The sequence below is a fragment of the Homo sapiens genome, chromosome 20, assembly GCF_000001405.40.
Source record: "Homo sapiens chromosome 20, GRCh38.p14 Primary Assembly".
Lineage (NCBI taxonomy): Eukaryota > Metazoa > Chordata > Mammalia > Primates > Hominidae > Homo > Homo sapiens.
The window spans coordinates 13,336,509-13,355,760 of NC_000020.11; the positions used below are offsets into that span (position 1 = coordinate 13,336,509).

General features: G+C 42.3%; 1 protein-coding gene and 1 long non-coding RNA gene across 4 annotated transcripts in view; one reads left to right on the forward strand and one right to left on the reverse strand.

Annotated features, from left to right (window-relative positions):
* TASP1 (taspase 1) overlaps positions 1-19,252 on the reverse strand; it is a 534,161-nt gene that overhangs the window by 231,737 nt on the left and 283,172 nt on the right. The window lies entirely within an intron of this gene.
* Positions 1,233-19,098, forward strand: LOC124904872 (uncharacterized). Its single transcript, XR_007067535.1, has 3 exons — positions 1,233-2,297; positions 18,111-18,385; positions 19,022-19,098. It is a non-coding gene; the product is annotated as an uncharacterized LOC124904872 (long non-coding RNA).

Consider the following 19,252-nt stretch of genomic DNA (forward strand, 5'->3'; position numbering starts at 1 on the left):
TCAGGACTCTGATGCCTATGAAGGTCTACACTCACCCCTCAAGTATGCCAGAGCCTGAGGCAGTATAACATTAACTAGGAAATTAGACACATCATGAAAGTTTGAGAGAGACCATCCTAGAAAGGAAAAAGCTTTTTTCCTGTTCTTTGTAAAAAAGACTTTTAAGTATTTATTTTGCATTGGGCTCTACAAATTATGTACCCAGCCCTGATGTCAATGTTTTCTGCCTAAAAAGTGAGATTTTTTTTTTGTATCTCAAAAATCTCAACTATGAGTATCACTAAAGATAAAAAGAGCAGGTACTCCTAACATTGGTTGATGTATAACTACACCAGAATGGTTCCAGTGTGAACCCTGGGCCTCCCAGTTGGGGGATTCCCAGTTTCAATGAGTCTCTTCTGAGCCACACTCTGTCTACTGGATTTGAATGCTGGCATCAGGCATCCAGCCAGCAATGATTTCTGATGAAATAAAACAGTTTCAGATAGGACTAGATGTTTCCAAGGGAATCCATGAGAAGATTTCCAGGTTCGATGTTTTTGATGTATGAATAGAGGCACCAGAATTCAGAGGGATTCTGGGGTTTTGTAACCTCAAGTTAAAGCAAAACCATCTCAAGTGGGGTTTGAGACCCTGAAAATGGCTTCCAGGAACGAGGAGGATTTCCTTCTCTGGGGAATTTTAAGAGGAATATTCTGGCTCACCTGGAAGGACACAGTTTTGACCAGAGGCAACAAGGTGGGGAGACCCAGACAGACTCTCTAAGCCCCTCCCATCTTGTGAGTCTCTGATTTTCAGTTTTTTAGACGCCGAGGTCATTGCCAGCTATGAGAAGAGCCAAGTCTAGACCTTGCCCTTTGAAGTAAGCACTGCTACTTGCTTCACACAGCTCCTCATTCCCAAAGCATTTTATTCTTCCCTGACACCTTCCCCCTCACTGCCACCCCCAAATCTCAGACCTCACTGGATATGGTGACCTGACAACTGCCCTTTACATGGGGATTTGTATGGTAAATTGCCACTAAGAGGCCCCTGATCCACACCTTCCTCACCAATTTATGCTGTCGTGGCTTTCAGACAGAAACTGGGGAATTCACATGTGGCAGGCTTGGCGGTTCATCAGACAGGTTCTATTAACTTGGTCACCAGGTGGTAACCATATTATTTCATGCTTCTTGGTAACTTTTGTGCAACACAATTACCTTTGACAGTTCTTGAGTGGGACAGCAATTTTCAGCAAATGTTTTCGGTAACCAGAGGCCAGAAGGAAAGGAAATGTGAGTGCTTCAGTTAAGCTTTGAGTGTGGCTCTGACAGCTCTTCAGCACCTCTGTCGTGTTATAAATAGGAATTTGGTGGAAATTTAGTACACATGGAACTTACAAAAGGGGGTTGAGCAAGGCTGATGATGGCTTCTACTGCATTTAAGAAAGCATTTGTCCTTACGTTACCAGAAAAGGGTCCTGATCGAGACCCCAAGAGAGGGTTCTTGGATCTTGTGCAAAGAAGAATTCGAGGCAAGTACATAAAGTGAGAGCAAGTTTATTAAGAAAGTAAAGGAATAAAAGAATGGCTACTCTGTAGGCAGAGCAGCCCTTAGGGTTGCTGGTTGGCTATTTTTAGAGTTATTTCTTGATTATACATGAAACAAGGGTGGATTATTTGTGAGTTTTCTGAGAAAGAGACAGGCAATTCCTGGAACTGAGGGTTTCTCCCCTTTTTAGACCACATAGGGTAATTTTCTGACCTGCCATGGCATTTGTAAACTGTCATGGTGCTGGTGGGAGTGTAATTAGCATATAATGAGCAGTGAGGAAGACCAGATGTCACTTTCATCGCCATCTTGGTTTTGGTGAGTTTTGGCCAGCTTCTTCACCACATCATTTTCTCAGCAAAGTCTTTATGACCTGTACCTTTTGCCAACCTCCTAGCCCATCCTGTGACTTAGAATGCCTGACCTCCTGGGAATGCAGCCCAGTAGGTCTCAGTCTTATTTTACCAGCCCCTGTTCAAGATGGACTTGCTCTGGTTCAAACGCCTCTGACATACAGTATAATAAGTCCTACCATGATGAAATTCTTCTGAGCTCCAAAATACAGTAGGTTGCAAGGATTTTCTTTCAGTAGGGTTTCATGCTAAAGATGTTTTGACATCCTTCACACCAATTCCTCATTGCAAAGAATGTGACATTCACGTCTTGGACTTGCTTGAATTTACAGTGCCTTCAGCATTCCTTGAAGATATCCAAGAAAGATGCAGTCCACCCTCCAAGTATTGATTTCTAATCTCAGGAAAAAGGTAAGCAGTCATCACAGATGGGCTGTTCCAAATCTGGTCTTACAGAGTAAGCAATTGAATTGCTTCTCCACACTCCTCACCATCACCACCATCACCAATACACCTACACACAAACACACATGCACACACAAATACACACACCCATGCATGCACACATATACATGCAATAGCCACTTTCTAAGCACAAAACAAAATACCTGCAGTCTCTAATCATACATCATAGGAAAGGAAAAGAGCGATTTGCCCACCAAATCATCAGGTATTAAAGGGATTGATCACACACAATTGGTAAATCTGCTGAGTTTAGGACTGGCAGAGTTGAACACGAGGTCACATGGCCACAAATACATCCTGGAGCATATGCTGTGACTTGAATCCCATTGGCCTGGTACACAGCAAAACTTCCCTTTGACACACCCAAGAGAAGAGTCTGGACTTTGCTCCCATTTCATGAACAATGTTTCACAGGCAAGCTTTCTTTTGATCTCCAGTGACTAGACACATGATATCATCAGCTCTAAATCAAGCCACATTTTTACCCTCTGCCTGAAATGGTGAGGACAACGCCAGCTAATCTGTAACATGTTGCAGATAGCAACATCTCCTGGGACCATCATTTTTCACCTTCTTTATTTGTTTAGCAGCCACTTTGTCAATTAAAGCTGGTGATATTTTCCCCAGACTCAGAGAACAGAATTTTGATTATAAACTTTTCCTTCATATCTCATCCTTACCAAAGTTTGACATTTAGCCATTACTGATTTTGAACGAATTTTCTACATGTCTGGGGGCTTTGTTCTTGCCTTACATGTGATTTTTTTTTGTAGACACCAATAATACAAAAAGTGATCTGCATAGGATATGATACAGAATAACTCAAGTAGACATGGCCTTTCTTCCCCCAAATGAAACAAGTGACAGTATGTCAACCTTTCATAAGTGTTGAACATTCATCTTCTGCTTGGTTTAGATGATGAGAGGAGGGACACAAAAGCCAGGGATTATGTATGTAACCAAGTAGTCCCAGCTCACGCTCAATATGAAAACAGTTAGGTTGAAGTCTTTTGCTTGATTCCTTTAAAAATATTAATAGCAGTCTGGAGTCCTTTTTTCTCTTATTATAGAAACACAAAGTATGTCTGTTACACAAGCATGTCAGGAAGCACAAGCAAGCACAAAGGAGAACAAGAACAAACAACCCATAAATACTCCAATTTTTTCACCTGGCTGTCTCTACTACAGAGTCTGAAAAAGGCCAATACTATCCAGCCTCCTTGCAGCTTAGGTGGGCATATGACACATTTCTAGCTAATGAGACCTCAACAGGGAAAAACAGGAACAAACACAAAAAAACATCTGGGGAGATTCCAGATTCTCCCATCTTCCTTCCTTGATATAAGCTTCAGCTGCTGTCTTGAGACCATGAGACAGTTAGCCAGCCTAGCATGAGGAAGACAGCCAATATATTAAGGATGACAGAGTGGGCCTGCAGGCATCATTGCAACACCGAACCAATGCCAGCAACCTCCTACCTCCAGATGTTTTATCAAGTAAGACAATCACTGCCTACTTATTTCAACGACTACTGATTGGGTTTTCTGTTATATGCAGCATTCTAACTGATACTCCCAACTATCTAACAAAAACTCCATCATACCAGTATACATTATTCAAGTGTGTTTGCTTTTTTTTTTTGCTTAGATTTACCTTTTGGTTATTTTTTTATTTTTATGGATATATAATAGATGTGCATATCTGTGAGGAGTAGCTGATATTTTGACACAAGCATACAATGTGTAATTATCAAATCAGGGTAATTAGGTTAACCATCACCTTAAATATTTATCATGTTTTAGGGGTTATAAGCCTTCCAATTCCACTCTCTTAGTGATTTTGAAATATACAATAAATTATTGCGAAGTCTTTTGCTTTTGCAGAAGATCAAATACATGTCTTTTTGCTTAAGCTGAAACATTACAAATTTACCACTGAAATCAACTTCAGTAATGATTTTACTCTTATAATGATAATAATACATTATATTCTCATGGCACCTTAGCTTTCATTATCTCATTAATTGAATTCTCATTTTGGAAGTAAGAAAAATGTAGCACAGAGAGATTAAGTTGCCCAGGAAGTAGCTGGGGCTTAAATTCAAGTATTGTGACTACAAATACTTTCCTCTTTCAGTAATATTATGTGCTGAGTCTTCTTCAGTGAGTTCTAGCAAATCTGCAGACCTACAGCTTGGGGAATGAGTAAACAGGAGCTGTCAGTTCTAAAGTCAGCCTAGCTATCAACCACATTGAGAGCAAAATTCATTTCTCAAGCAGGTCACCAAGACTGAGCATAGAGTTCTTCCAGAGGTAGCACTTGAATAATCATGTCATCAAATGTCATCGTGGTAGCAGAGAATAAGCATGCTAACTTTTCCCAGTCCTCCAGAAAAAGGATACTTTTGTCTTTCCTTTTCCAATTTCTTTTACCCATTTGGGAGAGTATGCCACAAATGTGGTTTTTAAATATATGAACCGATGCTTTTATCCTAATAGTTAAGAACATGGCCTTTAGAATCACACAGAGCTGAATTCACATCTAGCTTCACCACTTACTAGGCATGACCGTTGGCAAGTTAACTTCTTGGGATTCAGCCCTCTTTTCCGTAACATGAGGGTAACGTAGTCACAATATTTCAAGGAAGTTTTGGGGACTAAATGAGAAAACGTGAGCTTGAAAAAGTGGGGCATATTTTTTATGTTCTCTGTGGTCTCTTCCAATTCTGTAACTCTGTAATAGGATTCAACAAACATTTCTTGTGGACTTGTAATGTGGCCTTATCTTGCATGATCCTCAGAGTAACCCTATGGAGTTAAACCATCCCAAACCTTAGCAACTTGAAACAACAAACTTCTATCATTTTTCAAAATTCTGCAGATGAGTTGGTTGGTTCTTCTCATCTGAGCTGGCTTGGCCAGGCTCTCTCATGCATCTGTGATGAAACGGAGGAACAGCTGTTGGCTGGCTGTTCTAGGATGGCCACAATCACACATCTGGTAGTTGGATGGCTATCAGTGCTGCAGGATGACTAGCAGGTGTTCTCCTCCTCCCGCAGGCTAGCCTGGGCTGGTGGTTCACTTTGTGGTCACAAGAGAGTGAGAAAAAGTGTGCAACACCCCTTGAAGCCTAAGTTCAGAACTGACACATGTTCATTTCTGCCACATTTGATTAGTCAAAGCAAGTCCCAGGCCAGCCCAGGTATAGCAGGCGAGGAACTAGACTCCACCCCTTGATGAGAGGAGCTGTAAAGTCATGTGCAAGCCTAGGAAGACTCCGTGGCCATTTTAGCAGTCGATTAGGCTACTCAGCCAGTTTTCTGGAGCCACACATGTGGGCTGGCCTTCCCAAGTCTTCTCCGCCCAAAAAGCCAGACAGAGTTTGTTTTTCCAGCAGGGCGCATATCGCAGGCCTGGGTGGGTTGTTTGTTTTTGTGTTTGTTTTGACTTTTAGCTATTTCCAGGATGTTTCTTTCATGGAGGAGAACGACTCAGTTCTGTCTGCCATGTGTATTAAGATGAGCTACAAGAGAGCATTGCTTTCTTGTAATGCAAGAAATGCAATGTAGTCAGAGGCTCTGAAATCTGGTGGGGACAGCGGCAGCAGAGACTGTGACAGCCTCGGGACACAGGAGGCCACCTTGGTCTTCAGTCTTAGGTGCCTGGAGCTACCAGACAGCCAAAGTTGCACAAGGCACAGGCATGACCTGCCAGGTTGCCCAGCCAGGCCAGGGATGACAGGGCACGTTCACCTCACCAGCTAATCAGAGACAATCCCCGCCTGAGGAATGAGCGGAACTCCCAGCCCTCAGATGACGCTGGGCTTGAGTTTTCTCTGCTAGCACATTTGGAGATTTCACAAGAGCCATAAAAGTTTGCAAAGGGCCTTGGAGTGCCTCATTCAATGAAATCACACCCTCCCTTCTGGACTGGGTTAAGGAGGGGTCACACACACCCGACAGGGTGCCTCCAGATGGGGGTGTGTAGAGGATGGGTCCTTATCCAGCTCCGGTCACTTCTCACCCCTTCCAAAAACCCACTGTGGGCCAGGACAAGGAGAAACAAGAGATCGTGACTGGCAGAGATATAGGAAGGAATGTCCCAAAAAGAGCAAAAAACTTGCTCTCATGTACTTTGCTGACTGAGCCTCTGGGAATGGAGCCTTCTCCTGAGGAAATACCACAACATGGCTCAGAGGCGGAAGGCTCCGAGAAGGGTCCTGGCAAGTAGGGGAAAATGTCCCTTCAACGGCCTCTCTGACCTCAGGCAGAGCCCCACTCAGTGACATTCCTGGGTGAGTGGGCAAAATGAGAAATTCCTCCTACAATTCTCTCTGCCCACAGAAGGTATTAAATGAGGTCCGGCAAGAGGCCAGGATCAGGTAAGTCTAGAGGCCAGAAACCTCAGCCAGGCCTACCCAGCACTCAGGAAGAGCAGAGGCTCAGCAGCCCCTGAGGGAGGCACAGCTTGGCTCTTGGAAAATGGCCCTACTGGGCCTCATTCTCCAGGTACTTGGTTTTTGGCTCTAGAGACAATGCTGAGTTCAGTTCTCACCCATGTGAAAGTTTTCAAATCCAAAAGCCAGGGAGACGCCTCACACCATACCCAGACAGAGGGACAAGGAATAAAACTCACCCACTTCCTTTCTATGCGTTTCTCCCTGCAGGCTGCGGTTCCACCGCTTCCAGGCGGCTGGATGGGGCCGCCCCACCCCCGCCCCGCCGCCCCCGCCCCCGCCCCCACTGTGGTTCCTGCTTTCCTCAGTAGCAAAGTGCTTCAGATGTGAAGATGGCCCACCCGTGTCCTGTGATGTGGAGCTCCCCCTCGGGACTCAGGGAATTGGGCGTCCACCTCCTCACAGCATCACACCCCTTTCTTTCACCTGCAATTCCCATTCGCCAAGCATTGGCTGCGGGTCTCCCAGCAGACGGTTGCATCCTGACTATAGAAAGAAAGACATTAGGGATCCCAACAAGTGGAATCTATTCCTGCAGAATCCAGGACTTGGGAGGATTCCCAAACCTGACTGGGCAGCCAGCCCAGTTTCCAAGGTCATCACTAGGGCCAGCAAGCCCCTCTGTGGGTCCTCCCAGCCCACCGGGCTTCTGCGCACTTCCTGTCACTCCCCACTGAGGAATGCTCTCACTGGTAGTCCCTCTGCTTGTGGATGTCCTACCTTCTCCCTTTTCTCAATTGCTCCACCCAGACCGATTCCATCGTTCCTTCATTTTTTTAGAGAGCATTCTCTTTTCTAGTATTTAATTGACTTTTTGATTGTGTGACACCAATAGGACTCTCATCCTGATATGGGGAGAAGCATGACCTCTAGACGGCCAGGAAGTACCCTTGATCTTGACCTGCAAGCTCTAGGGGACAGTCTTAGGGACGACCTCAAGATTACAGAATATCTATATTTGCGCACACACACACGCACACACACACCCTCCTGCCTGGATTGGATTCCCAAGCCCAAGTTTTCCTTCAACACAACATTTGGAATTAGACTTTTCAGATCCTGGTAAAAGCATGCAATTAATTTAAGTAAATGGAGGCAAAGGGGAGGGAGGGTGTCTACATAATGGGATGGAAAGTTGGTAGGGAACAGGTAGGGAGAGAGACTCTTCATGGGAAAGAGAGCTAAAATCAGAGATTCTCAGGAGTTAACAGAAAGATCTGCCTGTACAGATATCTGTACCCAGGAGAGGTTTTCTGGAATGCTGTCTTTATTCTCTCAAAGATCTCCTAGCCTCATTTGATAACATCCTATCTCCTGGGAAGAAAATGTGAGATTAGCCCATGGGGTCAATATGAAGCGTGAGGCAGAAGTTCCCTGAAGCCAAGTTCCCCGGCATCCTTTGCCTTCCTCATGTTCCCCGAGGGCCTTGTATTCCCAACGTGCCTTTCCCCTTGCCCACAGTGCTCGCGCCTCTCCATCTGTGTGGGCTATGTGTTCACTCCACACTGAGCACACTCAGCGGCTGGCATGATTCATGGCCACAGCAGGCCCAGAAATTGGTCCCAGTGGTCTCCAAGGTTTCTCTGGCTTGAAGCACATCGAAGGCCCTCAGGCTCCCCGGATTCTGCTGAGCTCAGATCCCAGTAAGGAAATCCAGCCTCACACAGGCAAGCATGTCCAGTTAAACTGCTCCCTCCCCCACCTCCCCAGCCTCCTCATGCACATTTACACACATTCACTAGGCTGGATGCCTAGAAACATCAACCTGCCTGATTCTGCCTCTTAAAACTGGTGTTTATTTTCGTTCAAAAAAAATTGGAAGGACAGTGTAACCACATTGTAGGTAATGAAGAAAAGAGTTAAAAATCATCATTCTCAGTCCATCTACCCTGACCCAATTATTTTTACTTCTGTTTAGTCCTGATTTGTATGCATATTGATTTTTAAAAATAGCAGTCATCAGAACGTGGGGAATTTGTTGGCTTTTTTCTCCAAGTCAGTTGCATTTTCTGACCTGTAAGGCCTTTGGGTGCTGGAGTTCACCAATGGCTGGCTGGCAGGACCACACCCAAACGCCAAGCCCCTGGAACCAGCTCGCAAGGCAATGGAGAAGGGCAAATACTGTAGTGCCTCCATCCCTCCTGGAGCCAATCTAAGCATCCTTAACCTCCATGGGGGACTGGGGGGAAATTGAGTTGTCTCCCTGAGTTGAACACCTTTGGGTGTATCCAATGCCATGGCTCCAGCCCTGTTCCCTGGCATATCTACACTGGGGGAGGGAGGGAGGTCTAGCACACACCTTTTCCCAGCTGAGTGATGCAAGGCTGGTACCCTGTAGAACAGAGCCATCAGTGTCTCTGGAGAATGGCCCCTGGCACTGGAATCAGAGTGAGTGGAACACCAGATGCTTGTTCGCTGAGCCAACCCCATCAGTTCCACTGATTCCCCAAACCTACTGGGTTTTCCTAACTCAGCTTGAGGTTACAGGGGGGCAGCTGAGGATGGTGAGCAGGACCCAGTGGACTGACCCCACTGCTGTCCCAGCCTCCTCACATACAGTTGGTCTCTTTGGTGATAACACTTAGCTTCCTCTCAGTAGGTTAAAAAAAAAAAAAAAAAAAAAAAAAGAATGAAGAACAGGACTACTTGGCCGACATACTAGCTAAGAGAAACCTTGGAGGCAGCTGGAGGGCTACTGCCCATTTGACAGGGGCCATGCTTCCAAACACAAATATTAACCTTGGCAATCTGACTGTCTTCTGCTTCATGACTTACACAGTGCTTTTTGGGGTCATGTTTAAGTTGGGAAAGAGAGAGGTGAAGGAAAAAAGATACAAAGTCTCCTGGAACAACTGAGCTTTTGATTTCTAGAGAGTATTTAACTGGTACCAGTGTTCAAAATCCACCCTGGTTAAAGGCCACTACTTTTCTGCTTTTCTTGGGCAGAATGGATTGTGTAGATAAATCCAAGTATCTCCTCCTCCTGGGGTCCTGAGGCTGGAGATAACAAAAAATAAAAATGTCAACACCTGGATTTTTGGTAAAGATGGCAAAAGCACTCAAGTGATGACTAATCCCCATGACTTGAAACTGGGAACCTTGGGAATCAGCTTCACAAAGCAGGAAGATGTTTTTCTGCACCATAATCTTCCCCAGTTGAGCCCACAGCCAATGAGCCTGCATCTAACCCATTAGCGAAGCCAAATCCAGAAGATGGCAGAGATTCCGCCCACAGCACTATGCTAGCAGCACTGCCCTATAGGGTGTGTCAGGAGTTCAGCGCATCCAGCGATGGAAGGGGAGAGTCCTCCTGACAACTTCAAGGTTGTCGAGGACAGCAAAACTCAACATTAGTGCTGGAGGCTTTGAAACTGGCGGCCCCAGACCTCAGCAGTCATCAGGGCTTCAGAGAAGCCAGAAAAATATGTGTTGCATCTGTTAAGTCATTGTTTAGTGGTTTATGACACAGTTACCTTAGTTCCTCAAGATACATATAATTTGGGGCCCCTTTCCAGGAGGGCATTTCAATACACCATTTGAACCAATGATTCCACTTTTATTAATTTGCCTTTAGGCAATAATCAGGGCTGCCTGTGCAATCTTAACCACTTAGAAGTTTGACTGTGTTCATAAGAGTGAAACATGAATTAGCTAAATACATTATGTACCGACAAGCAATATGTAGTCATTTAAAATTATGTCCTAAATAATTTAATGTGAAAAGTGTTGATATGGTAACTGAAAAGGTGTTATGAAACAGTATGCATAGCATGATCCTGAAATGACTGCAAAACACTGTGTACAGTACGATGCTGTTTTTGTTTAAAATGCCTATATGTGTTTATACAGTCACAGAAAAGAACTCTGTGAGGGGAGTCCTTCTTTGCTTCCCACATTCCTGCCTCTACTCACAAAACAGGAGCTTCCTCCAACTCTCTGGCTTTTTCAAGTACTAAGGAGGAAGTGCCCACTGGGGAGCAGACCCTCCACTTTAGACAGAATGGCCTATTGGTCACATTAACACACAAGTAGATGGGAGTCATTGTGCCTGAAAACCTAAAACAGGAACTCCTCCTTTCCTGGGCTCTCCAACCCACTCCCTGAAGGCCATAGGTCCTTTTCCTGCCCAACCACGTCTCTTCTTTCTGGTTCTAGAGTCTCAGATTGTCTTGGGTAAGTGAAAACACTCATGCTCTCCCTGAGCCCCAGTTGCCTCAATTTGAGCAATTAGCAAAGTTTATTGGCCAGGCACGGTGGCTCACACCTGTAATCCCAGCACTTCGGGAGGCCGAGGCAGGTGGATCACTTGAGGTCAGGAGTTCGAGACCAGCCTGGCCAACAGGGTGAAACCCCGTCTCTACTAAAAATACAAAAAATTAGCTGGGTGTTTTGTGGCACTTGCCTGTAATCCCAGCTACTCGAGAGGCTGAGGCAGGAAAATCGCTTGAATCCGGGGGGCAGAGGTTTTAGTAAGCCAAGATCTCGCCATTGCACTCCAGCCTGGGCGACATAGCGAGACTTTGTCTCAAAAAAAAAAAAAAAATGGATAATTTTTATTCCATTTGCCTCAATTCCTCATAAGTGCCAGTTAGACTCCTGGAGGGGAAAAGAAATGAGTGGTAGAATTCAGTCAACAATTCAGTCACCTGAATTCAGAATGGCATAAGGCAGTGGTTTTAAGAGATATTTGCGCCCCCAGGAGACATTTGGCAATATCTAGAGGCATTTTTTGTTGTACCAACAGGATTAGGGATTGAGGAGGGTGTTGTTACCAGCATCTAGTGGGAAAAGACCAGAAAGACTACAAAATACCCTACAATGCATCATCCAACCCAAAATGTTGAGGTAATGACAATGTTGGGAAACCCTAGTTTTAAAGATCTATGCCAAAGTGTTAACAGCAGCTTGTCTTCTATTTTCTATATTTGTAATTTTTCTACAATATTTGTGTGTTGCTTTACTAAAAAGGAAAACAATAAAAGCTACTTTTACTTTTAAGACAAAGTGGCCATAGCATGTCAGAAGTTCAGATGTGGCCAAATGTTGGTGACTGTTGATAAAGAAAATAATAAACCTGGTTCTTACCAACAGCCCTTGGCACTCTTTGGAACCCCCCGTGGAATGAAAATAGTGACTAAGAGGAAGAGAGATTGGATTTGATAGAGTCTACTCATAGACATGCATTATTAAAAAAGAAACTTAGCAAGGCAACCCGTGCCTAGAGACCTAGCCTAGTGGATTTCACGTTGGCTGACTTTTTTTCTGTTCACTCAAATGGTATGAATTTTTAGCTGCTGACACCACTGTATGGGTGGTGTGGGGCATGCCAGGGAGCATCTAGTTCTGGCTCCATAGGTTTATTATGGCTGGCCAGTCCTAATTAAAAGACTCCCTTTGTCTTGTCTTCAGGACTTCCAGACATGGAACTGGGGCTTTATTTTTGGCTCTGGGCATCTATGCTGCTTCCTGTTATGTTGCCAGATTCATACGTAAGCTAAGGCAGCCCTAGAGGAATATTTCCCTCCCTTTATTCTTATTCCTTAGTACAGTTCTGGATCCACAGCCAATCAAGCGTATCATAGAAGAGCCAGCAACTCTGACGTGCAAAACGCCCATGTCCTGCCACCCCCAACATGCTGGTATTTTTGACAGTCCTCAATTAGAGCAGTACGGTTAACTTCAGCCTGTCATTTGTGTGGGTTAAGCTGTTTGAAAAATCCTTGAGGGATCAGCCAGTGGTGGGAGGATGATTTTCCTATAAACAAATGATGGAACCTCGATGTCTGGAAGATACTAGCTGTGGTTTGGTTCCTGGGGCCTTTTGAGGGGACAGAAATGTCAGCTCCCTTCTTCCTTGGCTCTCTGGGCTGTCTCACAGCTGGGACTGATGCTCTCCATTCCAGCATTGGAAGACCCTCAGGAGGCCTCCGGACCACAGAGATATCTGGTTCCAGTTTCATTTTATCATTGCTAGTGCTAAAGGTGTAACATTTATCCCCAAGTGACTATATAAAATAATTTCTTCAAGGGAGATCCTGGGTATGAAGTTCATATAAACACTTCAGAATAGCTAGAAAAGTTTATTTTGATTTTAGAATAATGTTTCACAAGGACTGAGTCACCAAAACCACTCTTCCCATAAGTCCATTTCACTGGGAGAATATTTATACAAAAATCCTTAATATTGGGGTCGTGGGAGGGAAAGTGTGCAGATAATGTAAAAGGATTTTAATTCCGAAAGAAACAAAGAAAAAAAGAAGAGGACCAGCATATCCAGTTTTGTTTTACGTGATCTGAAATTTTATCTGATCTCTCAGTAGATTGTTACCAAAATCCTGATATTAGAAAGAAGTCTCTATCCATTCACATATAACATGATAGTCTATGTAGAAATTTGCAAGAAATCTACAAAAAAGCACCAGAATTAATACATGAGTTTATCAAGGTCACGGGATACAAGATCAGCATTTAAAAATCAATCATATGTCTATACATTAGCAATCAACTACTGGAAATCAAAATTTTAAAAAATAATACGGTTTAAAAATTACATAGTCTGGACATGGTAGCTCACACCTGTAATCCTAGTACTTTCAGAGGCAAAGGCAGGAAGATCTCTTGAGCCCAGGAGTTTGAGACCTGACTGGGCAACATAGGGAGACCCTGTCTCTATAAGAAATTTAAACATTAGCCAGGTATGGTGGCATGCACCTATAGTTCCAGCTACTCAGGAGGCAGAGCCCAGGAGGCTGAGGCTGCAGTGAGCCGTAATGGTGCCTCTGCACTTCAGCCTGGGTGACAGAGCAAAGTCCTGTCTCAAAAAAACAAAACAAAAACAAAAACAAGATGTAATTATGTATACATTTTAAAATATATGCAGAATCTGTATAATAAAAACTCCAAAAACTAATGAAAGAAAGAAGATCTAAATAAACGGAGAGACATACTGCATCCATGGACTGGAAGACTCAACAATATTAAGGTGTTAATTTTCCCACAAGATGATTTAAGGATTTAACTAAATTTCAATTGCCATCCCAGTTAACAATCTTTTGTACACATAGTAACACTGACTCTGACTCTAAAATTTACGTGGAAAAGCAAAGAAACTTAAAAGAGGCGAAAAATGTTGAAAAAAATAAACTTGAAGAAATCACATTATACAATTTTAAGGCTTACTTTAAAGCAATAATAATGAGAACCATCACAATTTAAAACTTACGCTCTATGAAAAAAGAATGAAAGGCAAGCTACAGACTGAGATAAATATTTGCAAATCACATATCTGACAACTTATCATCATAATATATAAAGAATTCTCAAAAATTCAATAGTACATAAACAAAAAGACTAACCTTTAGATTTTTATTTTTATATATATATACATTTTTAGAGACAGAGTCTCACTCTGTTTGTTACCCAGAATGAGTGCAGTGGTGTGATCATAGCTCACTACAGCCTTGAACTGCTAGGCACATGAGATTCTCCTGCCTTAGCCTCCCAAGTAGCTGAGACTATAGGACTACAGGTGCATACCACCACATCCAGCTAATTTATTTTATTTTTTGTAGAGATGAGGTCTCACTATGTTACCCAGGCTGATCTTGAGCTCCTGGGCTCAAGTAATCCTTGCACCTTGGCTTCCAAAAGTGAAAAAAAAAAAAACAAAACCTAATTTTTAAATTTTTAAAACCTAAATTTTAAAAGAGTTGAACAGGCACTTCTCCAAAGAAGATATAAGGATGGCAAATAAACATATGAAAAGAAGCTAAACATCATTACCTATTAAGGAATAGGAAACTAAGTCCACAATAAGATACCACTAGACACACATTAGAATGGCTTAAAAAAATTGACAACACCAAGTTTTGACAAACATGCAGAGCTACTGGAACTCACATGCATTGCCAGTGGGGATGCAAAATAGTATAACCAGTCTGGAAAACTACTTGGAACTTTCTTAATTAATTAAACATATACTTACCATATGACCCAAAAACCCCATCCCTGGATATTTATCCTGGAGAAATGAAAGCCTCTCCTCACACAGATACCTGGTCACGAATGTTTTAGCATCTGTATTAATAAATTTCCAAAATTGGGAAAAACCAACACATCCTTCAGTGAGTGAATTTGGGATACTATTCAGCAATAAAGATGGTCCAAGAAACAAATCAGACAGATCTTAAAGGCATTCGCTGCATAAAAGAAGCCATTCTCAAATAGTTACATATTATATGATTCCATTTATACAACGTTCTTGAAAAGGTAAAACTATAGGAACTGAGAATAGATTAGTGGTTGCTTGGGGTGAGGAGAGAATTTGCCTCTAAAGGAGTAGCATTGTGGAATTTGGGGGGCTGTTGGAACTGTCTGTACTATAATTGTGGTGGTGGTGGTTACTTATATCTATACTTGTAGCATACTGTATACACATGAAAATGTCAATTTTGCTCTATATAAATTGAAATTTTTTCAAATTTAAAAGTAAGCTTTGTGTCACCATAGAACAGTGCTATTTTTAATAGAACATTTGATGATGGAAATGTTCCATATTTTGTATCCAATTCTGTAGCCACTAGTCTCATATAACTAGTAAGCACTTGAAATCTGGCAAGCATGACAGAAGAACTGAATTTTTCATTTCATTTAATTTTACTGAATTTAACTGTAAGTAGCCACATATAGCTACTAGCTACTGTATTGGGCAGCGCACCCACAGAAGACTGAAATTTCTATATTGTGTTCCAGAGCTTATCCAACTTGTGCTGATGCAGAAAACAGGAATATCTAGAATAATGAGAAATCAAAAATTCATTACATGTATGCTCATTAAGAATGCACTAACTTTTAGGCCGGGCACAGTGGCTCAAGCCTGTAATCTCAGCACTTTGGGAGGCCAAGGTGGGTGGATCACTTGAAGTCAGGAGTTCAACACCAGCCTGGACAACATGGCGAAACCCCATCTTTACAAAAAATACAAAAAGTAGCCAGGCGTGGTGGAGCACGCCTGTAATCCCAGATACTTGGGAGGCTGCGGCATAAGAATCGCTTGAACCCCAGAGGCAGAGGTAGCAGTAAGCCAAGAATGCACCACTGAACTCCAGCCTGGGTGACAGAGCAAGACTGTCTCAAAAAAAAAAAAAAAAAATGCATTAACTTTTAGATTTTATAGCAGATGTTGCTTGCAGGTTAAAGTTTTCTGAAATTTGGGCTCAAGTAAATTTATATTCCTTCAGCATATTACATTCAATGAAGTGATGGGCCTGTGTGCTGGAGCAGTCAGAAGACACACCACTAGCCTGTTGGGTGGCTTTAGAAGCCAGTCTGTGGCCTTTTTTAATTGTCATAAGTAATTCAAAAGCAAACCGTGGCATGTTGACTAGCTTGGGTCAACCATAACAAGTAATGATGCTGTCTCTCAGACATTGCAGAACCATTGAACCAGTGTTTTAAGATAATACACAAGAAAATACAAGATTCTTTACAATCCAGTCCTGATCACATCTCACCACTCTCTATATCTACAGAGGAATTTGTAATTTCTCCATCATGCACCTCTGTTGTTTGCTTTAGCTGTCAATTCCACATGGAGTTCCTTTTCTACTCTCTTTTAGTGTGATAAAAGGTGCCTTCCCTGGAGCGGGCAAGGTGGTTCACATCTGTAATCCCAGTGCTTTGGGAGGCCAAGATGGGAGGATTGCTTGAGACCAGGAGTTGAAGACCAACCTGAGCAACATAGCAAGATGCTGTATATACAAAAGAAATTAAAATAGTAGCCAGGCTTACTGGGCACCTGTAGTCCCAACTACTCAGGAGGCTGAGGCAGGAGGATCTCTTGAGCCCATGAGCTCAAGGCTGCAGTGAGCTATGATGGCACTACTATGCTCCAGCCTAAGTTACATATTAGGTGACAGAGCAAGATTTTGTCTCAAAAAAAAAAAAAAAAAAATGCCTTCCCTGTCTCTGTTGTAGTGTTCCCAAACATTTGAGTATCTCCCAGTCATTTGAGTATCTTCCTGATCTTGTGCCTTGTCTCCATCCTTCCTATACTATTACTCACCTTCATATTTTTAATTTGGCTCACCTTCATTTACTTAAGTTTGTCTTAAGCAATACTATCTGTGACATCATGGGTTTCACATGCTAGTTATATTTTTGCTAACACACATTAAGTAAATAAATGTATGTATAAGGAAAGCTATTTCGCCATTCATGCCCTAACATAAACTCACATGCCAATGTGGGACACATTCATCAGCTTGGTAACAACTTCCATAGTTAGCTGGAGTATCTACACCTCCAGGAAGTGGGTGATTTGCCCCCTACTGCTGCAGCAATAAGGCACAAGTCCTGTTCAGGGGATTGGAAGACTGTTTGTTGGGTAAATCAACTGCCCAGGCTCTGACATTTGAAAGTCCTCCCACAGAGCATCTGGCCCACTGCCTGATTCTACTGGGAAGCTCCCTTACATATAAAGCTTTCAATCCTATTTTAAGTACTTTATTATAAATAGTAACAGAGATCCAAAGACCACCAGACATTTGAGGAATGCCTCCCACATAAAAGACAGAAACTAAAATAAAGAAAGAGGAAAAAAAGTAATACGAAAGACACAGAAATCATGTGGGGTTCAGAAGAAAACTTCAAAAAGTCTCACAAAACTTAACATCCTTAGATTTAAATGAGAAGGTGATGCATCTATGAGACAAGAACAAAGTACTGTCAAAATAATGAATAAGGTAATAAGAAAAAAACTCATCAATTTTTAAAAGGATAGCTCATTTTTTTGAAATCAATAGAAAGCTTGGAAAATAAAGTAGATGAAAGCTCCCAGAAAGCAGAACAAATAAACAGCAATTTTTTAAAAGAGTGATAAGATGAGAGTCTTGGAGAAATAATCTAAAAGATTCAAGATCCAAATAATAGTTATTCCAGAGATGTAGAGAAAAGAAAGAGAAGGAAATTATCAAATAAATAACTAAAGAAAAATTCCATGTTGAAGAACATGTCTTGAGGTCAAAACAGTCCACCAAGTGACCCCCACTCTGAGACTCATTGAAGTAAAGAGAAGATCCTAAACACTACCCCACAGAAAGAGAAATGTCACTTACAAAGGATTGGAAATGAGATTTCCATTGCGCTAGTCACAGCAACCTGTGCTAGAAGACAATGAAACAATTGAGTTTTAACCAGAAATCTACAAACAGACAAATTACAAATAATTGTGAGGGGAAGAAAAAAGACATTTCCAGACACATTCCTAAACTAAAAAATAATTGCCTCTCATGTGATCTTTCTTAGGAAACCATTAAAGAACATAATCCTACAAAAGGAAAAAGTGCGCCAAGAAAAGTGAAGGATGTGGAAATCCAGAAATGGAGATCATAAGGTGATGGTGAAGAAATATTTCAGGATGTCAACTGCACAGCAGCCCTAAAGACCGCATCAAAACAGGGTGATGGAGGGATCCGGCAGGAAGGTCTTTAGAGAAAAAAAAAACGGAACAAAGAAATTATATGTTTGAGTTTTGGAAAAGCTGTCAGTGGGCACTGGCAGATCTAATGGATAAAATTAAGGTGAGACTCAAAAACTGCAGCTGAAAAACAACAACCAAATAAAACATTGTATGAGAAAGAGAATCACAGTTCCCTACTTGGTTCTAAAATAAACCATGTTTATCAATCATAATAATATGAAGAGTGACAATTTAGCTCAAGATTGTGATGTTATAATGTTAGGAAAATAGAGGGAAAGGAAAAGGGGAGCAGGCATATGGCGGTATTATGGTCTTAACACAGCAGGAAGTTAGCACACAGGGTCTAAAATGGATAAATCCAGAAAGAATATAAGCAAATAATTTTGAGCAGTAAGACTTGAGCATAGGAAGGGGTAAGGCCCTTGCTACTATGGGGCATTTATTTAATGTTTGAGTTATATCCACATATGTTATTTTAAAAAAACTTCTAAAATTAGAGAGAGAAATTATGGTTCCTGGGATATAGATCAGAGAGCAAAGATTTAGTTGCTGAGAGGACTCATAAATTGCAGCAAAACCATCTTTCTAAAGGCTCCTTTCTGCAACACTACCTCCAGATGATAGGACAATATTACACAAGGGAAGAGAGGGAAAACCGTGCCCAAGCTCCACCCTCTCCTTTGGGAAATTCTTGGCTCAGCTCGCAATACTAAATCTTTGTTCCATGGTGTTTTAGGACTGCACTCTTTGAAGGTGAGATGTTTATTTTCCATGGCTGGAAAGTTTCCTACATCCCTACCCACTACACATGACTGAGGAATTGCACAAGCCTCAGCGTGCTTTCTCCAACACTGGTATGTCAAGCCCTGGCTGCAAATTATGTGTAATGTGATGGCAAAGGTGCCTTTGGAGTGCTCCATGGACTGGCTCTGTCTTTCATTTCAGCCAGGTGAATGGCTCAACATAT